Raw genomic sequence first — 12,695 nt, 5'->3', positions numbered from 1 at the left:
GATATTGTGTTAGTTGCTGAAGACTCAAAGACAAAACACCAAGTTGTCTAGGAGATGGGGGTGTTTATGTGATATTGTACTTATTAAGTCTATTACATTAATTGCCCTCATGACTGGCAATGGGGGATCTGTTGATTTCTTTATATTTTCTAATTAAAGACATCTCAGAATCTCACATTTTTTTTTTTCAAATGAATGCTTAGTCTTTCACATTGTTTCTTAATTTCTGTTTTCATCTCTCAAAGAGGGTGGAGTGCATGTGTGTGTGTTTGTGTGTGTGTGTGTTTCCTGGGAGTTATATCTCAAAAGGCATAGGTGTCATTCATTTTTATACAAAAGTGGAATTTAGAAACAATAAAACCTGGACGTGCGCGGTGGCTCACGCCTGTAATCCCAGCACTTTGGGAAGCCGAGGCGGACAGATCATGAGGTCAGGAGATCAAGACCATCCTGGCTAACACGGTGAAACCCCATCTCTACTAAAAATACAAAAAATTAGTGGGCGTGGTGGTGGGCGCCTGTAGTCTCAGCTACTCAGGAGGCTGTGGCAGGAGAATGGCGTGAACCCGGGAGGCGGAACTTGCAGTGAGCCAAGAAAGCGCTACTGCACTCCAGCCTGGGCGACAGAGCGAGACTCCATGTCAAAAAAAAAAAAAAAAAAGAAAAGAAAGAAAGAAAGAAAAAGAAAGAGAGAGAGAAAGACAGAAAGAAAGAGAAAGAGAAGCAATAAAACCTGGCAGCTCAAAACCAAGAGAATTCTGTACTAGCTTAATTATAGCCTATGCAAATGATGGCATGCACATCAGACCCAAAACAGCATTTAAAATTCTCTCCTTTTTCAGTGTCTGCCAAAGAGAATGGCATACACCACAAAGTAAAAATTAAAATGCTTGCAAGGGCATTAATAGGCATTTGCTAATGGCAAAATAATGACTTCAGACCTTATGAAATGTTTCCTTATAGAAAAGAAATGCACAATCTCTGACTGTTAACTCTGTTCAAAACCTCAGATCAGATATACACATCAATTTGAATGGTGGAGACCTAATGTAGCCTGATAAAGCATGCCAAAACTGGGATCCCTATGGAACCACCCCTGATAGGGAAGTGTGCTCATGAGAGAGGACTTCCTAATTATTGGAAAATGTATCTTTGTCTTGGAGAATCCACAGGCTTTTACAAATCACTGTGTACTCTTTGCATACCATGCACTTTCCAATATTAGTCCTAATTATAGGGGGAAATTAGGTAAGCCTTTTCTTGGATCAAGAACCACCCAGCCCCCTCATCCTTTTACATTGCTCCTTTATTTTATCAGCTGTCCCCATCAATCTCCTCAGCATTTCCATTCTTGCTACCCACTCAGCTGGAAGGTTGGTTGCTACAGTTTGGATGTTTATCTTCCCAAACCTCATGTTGAAATTGAATCCCCAATGTTGGAGGTGGAGCCTAACGGGAGGTGTTTGGGTCCTGGGATTGGATTCCTCTTGCATGTCTTCATGCCATCCTTGCAGTAATGGGTGAGTTGTATTAGTTCCTGCAAGAGTTGGTTCTTTAAAAGAGCTTGGCAGCTCACTTGCGCTCTCTCTTGCTTCCTTTCTCACCACGTGATCTCTGCACAAATCATCTCCCCTTCTGCCATGAACAGAAACAGTCTTAGGCCCTCACCAGGTGCACAATCTTCCAGCCAGTAGTATCATGAGCCAAATAAATTTTTTATCAATTACCCAGACTCAGATATTCTTTCATGGCAACACAAAACACACTAGGACATTAGCCAAGCTCAGTGAATAAAGAGAGTCACTTGCTGAACATTCTAGACCCATAAGCATTTGAAGGCTCTAAAGCCTCTGTTTTGAATGCAGGGTGTCTTCATGTATTTTATCTGAATGAGGTTTACCTGCAGTGCTTGTTGAAGTACCAGATTTTTTAGGAGCATTTCTCACCCATCATCAAAGAACTAATTCTCTTGGTGTAGAATGCAAGGATCTTTATTTTAGCAAACTTCCCAAATGGTGTAGTGAACACTACATTGGGAAAAACTTTTCCAGAAGGCAAATGATAAATTTTTTACCTTCAACCAGACGATGTGTGTGCTCGGGTCTGCTGGGTAGAAATTAGAGAAGGAGGAGAGGGCATGGCCCTCATCTTGTGTCTTAGGAGTCAACAATAGACTCCTCAATATTCAGGGTCCTTCTAATTTGAGTTTTCTATTTAAAATTATTGTTTATCTCTTGTAGCCAATGTATCTGAGAGTGGGCAGGTTAGATCACTCTGTCCGAGCTGAGGCATGAAGAAAAAGTGTGTTCCTTAAGAGAGGTAAGATTTGGCACAGACATTTATGTAGATTAAAAAAAAAAAAACTATTCATGACCAGCTTTGATTGAAAATATATGTGATTCACATTTTCATTAGTCTCAAACTGCCACATATTAAGATATTTGTGTTAAATACTCAATATATGAGTTTGTTTGGAAATAGCACTAGTTCCTTTCATTTAGAAAAATATGGAGAAGAGCTCTGGCCTGAGAAGCTCTTGGCCTCTGGTGCACACAAACTCACACACAAACATGCCATAACCCCAATAACTTTCAGTAGTCTATATTGACCAAAGGGATTTCTAATTTCTGGGTATACTTTAACTTCATTAAATCATCTCAGCATTTTGGACTAACTGTATTTATACAAAAATAAATGCGTGGAAACCACAGAATTCATGTCTTTGCTGTTTCTTAGTTTGTAAGCCTAAGACACCTATTATTTTAAGCCAGGCACAGAAAAACAAACGGCGTATGGTCTCATTCATAAGTAGAATCTAAAAATCTTTATATCACGGAAGTAGAGAGTAGAATGGTGGTTAGCAGGGGATGTTGGGGGTTAGGGAGATGTTGGCCAAAGGATACAAAATTTCAATTGGACAGGAGGAATGAGTTCAAGAGATCTATCGTACAATGTGGTGGCTACATGTAATAACATGTTGTATTCTTGAAAAATGCTAAGAGAGTGGCTATAAAGTTTTCTCACCACAAAAATTATAACTATGTGAGGTAGTACATTTGTTAATGAGCTAAATTCAGTTATTCCACATTGTATATATACTTCAGACCATCATGTCATCCATGGTAAATATATGAAATTTTCTTTGTCTATTTAAAAAAGAAAATAAACATGTAAAAATATATATCTTTCAGAAAATATTCACCAACCCCAAGTTATAATGTTAGTCAAATGCGGTTTCAGAGTGATAAACTAGAAAAGCATTTAGAAAAAAAAAAACTATATATATATATTTTTTATTTTGGGGAAGACTAATATAGACATGCAAATGCATACATGATTGACTGGGCAACTTTACCTAATTTTTTGAAACCAGCTTTCTCATGGATGTGTATAGGAGTAAAAATAAGAGACTTGATATTCACCCAAAATAAATTGTGTGTATCTTCTATGTGCTGGTGGATGTGTGTTAGGGCTAAGAACTGAGAACTCTCCTTTATGATTCTTTACTTGACAGGAAACATATCTATATTCCCGAAATCCAAGCATATGTCATTGCTGCTCTCAGCACAATAAACAAATTGCTACATTAACCATTTTTTAAATGGGTTGGGTGTGGTGGCTCATGCCTGTACTGCTAGCACTTTTGGAGGCTGAGGTGGAAGGATCACTTGAGCCCAGGAGTTCAAGACCAGACTGAGCAACAAAGCGAGACCTCCTCTCTACAAAAATAAATAAATAAACATTTAAGAAAATAGCCAGTTGTGGTGGTCACTTGAGCTAGGGAGGTGGAGACTACAGTGAGCTGTGATTGCACCACTGCACTCCAACCTGGGTGACAGAGTGAGGCCTTGTCTCAAGAAGTGAAAAAAAAAAAAAGAATTTTTGATACAGTTCCCAGAAAGTGGTTTTTAGGAAAGCAATACCCTATTCCCTATTTTTGCCTTTAATTCCCCTTTCCTTTGTTTATTGTAAAAATTCACAGAGTACACCATTAAGACCCTGCTCTCTGGCCTGAGAAGCTCTTGGCCTCTTGTGCACACAAACTTACAGAGGCATCACTCCCAAGCATGCTTCTCAAACCCTGTATAGGGTGCTCATGCTTTGGGTACCTATGCACATTATCTCCATTGCTCATTCTCCCAGAATAAACTTCTTCACAAAGTTTCTCTGGCAAACTGCTACATCTGGTTTATATTGGCACATGGATGTGCAGAATTTGATGCATCATAATATCTGGGTCATGCACACTGATGACTGGCCCTCGGTGGTGCCTTTCATTGAGTTTCATTTAGTTATTTAATTTGATATTGCATACAATGCAGTAAGCATCTACAAACCACCACACCAAACAAAAGTCAATACCATGACAATACATTAATTTATTCAATGATCTCCTCACAAACCCATCTTTCCCTTCTAAGTTAATCATCATGATTGTCTTAATTCATTTGAGCTGCTATAATAAAATATCATGGACTTGGGTGGTGATATAGTTTGGCTCTGTGTCCCCAACCAAATCTCATCTTGAATTGTAATCCCTACATGTCAAGGGAGGGACTTGATGGGATGTGATTAGATCTTGGGGCTGGTTTTCCCCATGCTGTTCTCATGGTAGTGAGTAAGTTCTCATGAGATCTGATGGTTTTTAAGAGGCTCTTCCCCTTTCGCTCTCTCCCTCTCTCTCCTGCCACCAAGTAGGACACACCTGCTTCCCCTTCCACCGTGACTGTAAGTTTCCTGAGACCTCCCCAGCCATATGGAACTGGGTCAATTAAACTTTCTTTCTTTATAAATTACCCAGTCTCAGGTTGTATCTTTATAGCCGTGTGTGAAAACAGATTAATACAGGTGGCTTATAAACAACAGACATTTATTGCTCACTGTTCTGGAGGCTGGAGGCTAGGATCAGGTTCCCAACATGGTAGGATTCTGGGGAGGATCTTCCTGGATTCTTCCTGGTTGCAGACTGGCATCTGCTCATTGTAATTCTATCCTTATATAGCAGAAAGAGGGCCAATGAGCAATCTGGGGTCTCCTTAATAAGGGCACTCATCCCATTCATGAGGGCTCCACCTTCATGATCTTATAACCTCTCAAAGGCCCCACCTTCTAATATAGATGCTCCTTGACTAACATGAGGTTACATCCAAATAAACCCATCATAAGTTGAAAATATTGTAAATAAAAAATGCGTTTAATATACCTCACCTACCAAATGTCAAAGCTGAGCCCAGCCTACCTTAAACATGCTCAGAACACTTACATTAGCCTATACGTGGGCACAATCCTCTAATCTGATGTCTATTATTTATTAAAGAGCTGAAAATCTCCTGTAATTTTTTGAATCCTCTACTAAAAGTGAAAGATGCAGGATGTATGGATACTTGAAGTACAGTTTCTACTAAATGTGATCACTTTCATACCATCATAAGTCAAATCATCCTAATTTCCAATTGTCTGTACTATCACCTTGGGGTTTAGGACTTCAGCATATGGATTTTAGGAGTGACACAAACATTCAGTCCATAAAAATCATGAATCTTATGTTTAGGATATTCTTCCTTCCTTTCTTTCTCAAATGAGGCTTTGTTTGACTGGCATTTATTTTTAAACATGCATATGCTTTTATTCTTATTGCCTTAAATTTTCCAAAAAAAAAAAAAGTAAACCTCAGTTTGGAATCTTGTTGAGCTCATGATTTTAGTTGAGTAAAACCACTGCAGCGTTTCCCACAGTGCTGTGCTATGTGTGATAATGAGTGGCACATGAAGATTTGTTATGTGAAGACACTGTGATATTATCAGAGGTGACCTGCATGGTCTCTGGAGTTTGTGTTTGTGAGCCACGCTGCTATAGGCATTGTTCTACATTTTTTCCATTGGCTACCGTATATGTTTCAATTTCTACTGGGTATACACCTAGGAGTGCTGTGGTTAGCTACAGGCTCTGGGGATGTTTAGATTTACAGATCATGTTAAACTGTTTTCCAAAGTGGTTGCACTGATTCACTCTTCTCACTCAGAATTCATCAGGGATACTGTGGATTCACATCAGAACTTAGGCTTGACTATCAGCTGATTTGTTTCTATTTGCCAAACTTGTAAAATATCATCTGGCACATATCTTCATGTCATTTCTAATTTCAAGATAATGTGGCTGAGTGTGGTGAAGCTCACACCTCTAATCTCATCACTTTGGGAGGCCAAGGTGGGAGGATTGCTTGAACCCAGTAGTTCAAGACCAACCTGGGTAACATTTTGAGATCCTTTCTCTACAAAAAATAAAAATAAAAAATTAGGCAGGCATGGTGGTGGCCGCCTGTAGGCCCAGCTACTAAGGGAGCTGAGGTGGGAGGATTGCTTGACACCAGAAATTGGAGGCTGTAGTGGTGAGCTAAGATCTTGCCACTGCCCTCCAGCCTGGGCAGCAAAGTGAGACACTGTCTCTGAAGATAAAATAAAGGTTAAAAAAAAAAGATAAAGACAATGTGCTTCCATTTAAGGCAGTGTTTACGCTCTTGTTTATGTTCTTTTACTCCCTTAAGTAAGTTCCATTTGATTTCTAATTTACAGCATATTTTGTGATATGAGAATTAAATATTATCAATGATTTTTCTTGTTCCATTTAGAGGATCCTATTTTGTCTCCTAATCCAAAACTGAGATAAATTTCATTTCTAGACTTTTTAATAAGAAATCTCTATTGCACAGAGACAAACCCAGATGGGTCATGGTATATTATTATTTATACACCGTTGCATAAAACTTGTTAAAAATGTCTTTAGATGTTTGAAAGTAATTCATAACTGAAATAGACTTTTTTTTTTTTTTGAGATGGAGTTTCACTCTTGTTGCCCAGGCTGGAGTGCAGTGGTGCAATCTCAGCTCACTACAAGCTCCGCCTCCCGGGTTCAAGCGATTCTCCTGCCTCAGCTCCCCAGGTAGCTGGGATTACAGGCATGGTGAAATCGATTTTTGATTTTCTTTTCCTTTTTCAAAGTCTCTGTCAAGTTTCAGTGTTAAGGATGACACAACAGCCTTAAAATATGAGTTTGGACTCTTCCATTTCCTTTTTTTTTTTTTTTTTTTTTTGTGGTTGCATAAAACTGGGATGATCTGTTTCTTGAACATCCCATAAAAGTTATCTGGGCTTGATGCTCTAAACTGTTGAAAGACTTTGAGCCACTCCTTTTTTACTTCTTAGTAAGCCAGCCTTCACAAAATTCTGGAACCTTCCCCTAACCTTTGCCCCTATGTCACAGTGTTTGAAGTGTGGTATTTTGTTCTTTTTAACCTGTATTTTATCTCTAGTTTTGCCCCCTTCTACATTTATGTTTATTTGTTTTTGTCTCTTTATTCCTTAGTCAGTATTGCCTCACATGTGCCTCTTTTCCTAGTTGTTTTTCAAAGAACAACTGTTGGTTATGTTAAGTTTCTCAACTGCACTATTCACTTCATAATTTATATTTTTTATTTATTCTCTTATTTATATCTTTCCCTTCATATTCTTGTGATGTGTGCTATTGTTTTTTTTACTGGGTTTTTGTGTATGGGGGGAGGGTTTGTTGTTGTTTGTTTTTTGAGACAGAGTGTAGTTCTGTTGCCCAGGCTGGAGTACAGAGGTGTGACCAGGGCTCACTGCAACCTCTGCCTCCCAGGTTCAAGCAATCTTCCCACCTCAACTTTCTGAGTAGCTGGGGCTACAGGTGAGTGCCACCATACCTGGCTAATTTTTGTACTTTTTGTAGAGACAGAGTTTTGCCATGTTGCCTACTCTGGTCTCTAACTCCTGAGCTCTGGGTGATCCACCGGTCTCAATCTCCCAAAGTGCTAGCATTACAGGTGTGAGCCACCATGCCCAACCCTTTTTATTGTTTTCATGTGAGCACTTGGATCACCACTTTTGAATTGCTTCATTTTTTGCTTAAAATTTCTAAGGATATAATTCCTTCAATGAACTAATTTTACTTAACATAATATTTCAACATTTAGTATATCCATTATTATTTACTTCTAATAATACTTTAAAATTTTGCACGATTTCATCTCTAACCTATGAGTTGTTTACCTAAGCATGTTCATATTTTTATTTAGTATGTGGGAATTCATTTTCTACTTTCTTATTATTAATTTATAAATTAAAGTAAACTAATGTCAAAATAATATGAATTAAGAGTTAGACAGAAAGTATTATCTCCATGATACTTTTTCTTTGATATGTGTAGAGGGTTTTTTATGGCCTAATAGGTGATCAATTATTGTAATACTCTAAATGCTTAAGAAATAAAGTGTCGATTAACATGGTCCATCTCACACCCACACACCTTATTATTAGATATCTTTGTGCATTGCTTCAAAGTATTTTAGTTCTACCTCCAATACATACTACTTTGGTGATCAACTCCATGCGTGTCTTATTGAGTTCAGGCAAGTACATTAGCATCTTTTTGAAGCTGTAGAATTCTGTAAGCTCTCAGGGACAAACAGCAAATGCTGAGGGAGTTTATACATTTAGGGGCCAGTTTAGCAAATGAATGATGGGGACTTAAAATCAATGCTTGTACATTTAACCTTTTCATCCACAAATGTGCAGTTGTGAGAAACAATTTGTAAATTTCCAAGTCTCAGTGAAATGAAGCATCAGTCACCAAATTTGCTAAAAATTCCTTTTGTTAGCTCTTCCATCTTTCCTGTCCTGTTACAGGTAGTGAGACAGGCATGAGCAGAGCAGGAGAGGGCTCTTCCCCCACCCGCCAGGAATGTCAGGCAAGAATCGGGTGATGGTGTGACAATTATCATATTGTGTCTCTCAAAGGGATAAATTGGCAGCTGGCACCAGGAAGAGGCCATTTTCTAACTGTCCACACCCGTTGCACTAAAGTGTCAATTGAATGCAAGCAACAAGGAGATGCAACTTCCCAGCCATGTTCAATAAGAGACAAAATGGCAGAGTGTGACCTTCCAGGGGCACTCCACCAGAAAAGGGAAGAAAGCCTCAGATGGGCATGCATACAACTTGCTGAACACACTGCGTGTGCTCGGTTCCCAAGGCTAAGGAGGGCACTGCACATGTGGAAGAATAAATTGTCAGAGGTGCATCGGTTTGTGTCTATTTTTTCCCAGCTTCTCTCAAGCTCCAAACTTCTATGCCACCTGGATTTTACTAAGAAGAGTATGTGTCTCCCAATCTGAGTGAAGACAGGTGAGGAGGAGTCACTGTGTCATACCACAGCCACGGTGGGAGAGAAATAAAAGCAAGTGTTATCTTGCCGTTTCTTAACTATAAAGCCATTCAAGGCTGCCCCAGGATAAAGCCACCCTCAACTGCTTCATCCCATGAACACCCATTCATTGTGCCCTGCATCACTCAATTTTGTTTTTACTTCTTGTCCTCTCCACTTTTGAAGAACTGATCATTGGAAAAGTGGCCAGCAGCTTAAGCACTCCAGCGCCTTGTTCAGAACACCCGCTGTTTGATGGACGATTCTGCTCGGTGGTGCCTTTGCACACCACGTATGTGATTCATCTCCCTGGAGTGCTCATAAGCTACACTTCCCCTAGGAGGTGGAACAGAAAGCCCTTTTCACCAGGTAGTTAATCAGTCCCTTGTCCTTGCAGTATCTGAGCTCATTCTGTTGGTATATGCATTGAATATTGTATCTTTTCATATATAGCCTTTTCTTCTAGAATAGGATGTCAGCCAGAAGTGATAGCTCACGTCTGTAATCCAGGAACTCTGGGAGGCTGAGGTGGGAGGATGGCTTGAGGCCAGGAGTTGGAGACTAGCTTGAGCAATACAGACAGACCCTATCTTCAAAAAAAAAAAAAAAAAATGTAACCAGGAATAGCAGCATGCACCTGTAGTTCCAGCTACTTAGGAGGCTAAGGTGGAAGGATCGCTTGAGCCCAGGAGGTCGGGGCGACACTGAGCTATGATCACATCACTGCACTCCAGCCTGGGCAACAGAGTGAGACTGTGTTTCTAAAACAAATAGATAATAAAAAAATAGAATAAAATATCCATTAAAGACCACCATCAGAAAATAAATTCAAGGGATTTAGGATCTATGTTGAAATGACAATGAGAGGAACCCCAGAAAGTGAAACAAAACAAGGCAAAAGAAACAAAAGGTATGCCTAAATGCTCCAAATTGCTCAATCTATGAAAGTGATTTTGGGGAAAAAATGCGCACACTGCAAGCATTTTAGTTCATTTGTTATGGATAGACACGGTCGGGTAGCCCTAAAAATTAAAGTGATCACTTTACAGACTTGCATACAAAAACAAACGTCCTCTGGCTGACTTGTCCTTTTTATTTTCCAGGGACTGCATGTCTAATTGGCTGGGGGCCTTAGGAAGAGCTTATATTATTTTAACCTTTTATTTTTTTTTATTCATTCTCTGACTTTTCAAATCTAAAGCCAGAAAAACCATGAAGTTCTTCAGGGAAGAAGGGTAGAATCTGAACATCTTAAAGCAAGTAATGTGAAAGAAATGGATAATTACCACAGAAGAAAAAAAAATCATGAGTAAATTTACTGTTCATATTTTTATGATTAAATAGAAGCAAAGATTAGTGACCACTAGATCAATTCCAAATAATTATTTGCTAGTGTATAATATGAACCTGTGTGTAAATTATTATAATATTTTCCGACCTATACTAGATCATTATTATTTGACCTATAACAAAAAATATAGGGCGTGGAAATGACTCAGATACCAGATTTTGTACTAGGAGCAGTTTCTTTTAAATTCCAATTTAATTTTGGTTCTTGCTAGTTCCAGCATGCACTTTGAACCTCTCAGCAGGACCCTGTGATTTTAGAGTTGAAAATCTCCACATATAAGGTCTCTGTTTAAAATACTGGCTGGTGAGGCAGGAGGAAAATCACTTGAACCCAGGAATTTGAGGTCGCAGTGACCTATGATTGTACCACTGCACTCCAGCCTGGGTGACAGGGCAAGATCCTGTCTCTAAAAGAATGATAAAAATAAAAATAAATAATAGAGGATCACTCAAGCTCAAGAGTTTGAGACCAGCCTGGACAACATAGAGAGACCGCATGTCAACAAAAAATAAAAATTAAAAATAAACAGATAAGTACTGAGTGGCCCCAGTGAAATGATTTCTTTCACTGGAGAAATCATTCATTGTATTTCATTTTTATTGTACTTAAAATAGTGCTTTAAAAATATAAATGTGTTGGATTGAATTTTTCAAAGTAGTTTTACCTAAATCTACTCACGCAAATGAATGTTCTCTGCCATATCGGTTCCCCATGGAATTTGAAATCCCCTTCCGTTGATCTTGACAAATTTCAAAGAGATATGAAAGCCTCCTCCAGATATTATGATGTGTTTGTACACATATGCTCTACCCACAGTCCTAGCACATCCTGTCAATTTGGCCACACAGTCACATTATGGAAGGACAAAGATCCATCTTCAATTTGCTCCTTCAACCTCACCCAAGCTATATCTTGAGTCCAACCCAATGTTTTCCTGCTGGAAACTTGCAGAACAAAGATAAGATTCTCATAGGTGTAATCCATGATCTTCCCAAAATGGTGTCCAACATGACCATGAAACATCACAGATGGAATCTAGAAGGAGGCACCACCAACATGACCTAAAAGGAAGCTTAGTTTTGTTGCTCTTCTGTTTAAATTTGACATTATCTGCCCTCCCACCACTTTTCTGACATAGACGTATATTCCTCATCATTTTCATGTGCAAGACCCTCTCAGTCCCAACTCTGGTCTCTGCATACTTGTATTGCCTCCACAAATGTGCACCTGCCTTCCCAAAACCCGTTTCTCTAAAATGCTACATTAATCATTTACTGTGATTGTGCCAAGTGATAAAGAGGACACACAAAAGAGTAAAGACTAGGGTTTTTCTCCTTGGGCTGCTCATAGCAGTTGAGGTATAGGGTCATGTTGCAGGGTATTGCAGTCGAGGCTAAACCAATCGTGCCTAGGAAATATTCAGGCATGGTGACAGTGACATGGATGGACCACAAGGCAGGGCTTCCTGAGGTTCACAATTAAGATGGAATCCTAGATGAGTGCAAGTTGACTCCTAGACAGGAGCTCTTTTTGCTCCTCTAGGAAGCAGCAAGCCTGACTCATCCCTGTTTCCTCCCCTCATCCCGCTGATACATTTCTGCAGTGACCCTGCTGTCTACATGGGGCTTTGATGTCCAGCGGGTCCTTGATTCTGGCTGCTTTACTCTGCTGCCCACCCAGCATAGCCTGTCCCTGTGCACGCTAGCAAAGCTCAGACCCCAGGGCAATGCCTGCCCCACCACAGCAGACAAGTCCTTCCCTGACCCTGCTGTCATTTATGAGTCATGAACACAAAACATGGTGGCCTTTGTCTACAGCCTATAAATGCAAATGTTCCAGTCAGCCAACAGCCAAAACATCACATTGCCTACATCACAACGCTGCTTATTTATTAAAGCAAAACACAACACTTTATGTGGCTGTTCATGGAGGCAGGCAACCAAACACAGAAAAGGAAAAAACAGAATTACTCACTACTGATGGGTTCTATTTTATTAACAGGTGAAGACACACTATTAATTTTACGATTGAAAATGTTATGAATGAAGAGAAACTGACAACTATATAATTAGCAAGAGGAAATCTGCTTAATAACAATTTCTTGATTATCAGAGGAAAAAAAAAT

Source organism: Homo sapiens, chromosome X (genome assembly GCF_000001405.40).
Source record: "Homo sapiens chromosome X, GRCh38.p14 Primary Assembly".
In the NCBI taxonomy this organism is placed as follows: Eukaryota; Metazoa; Chordata; class Mammalia; order Primates; family Hominidae; genus Homo; species Homo sapiens.
Note: the sequence above shows the minus strand (reverse complement) of the source record.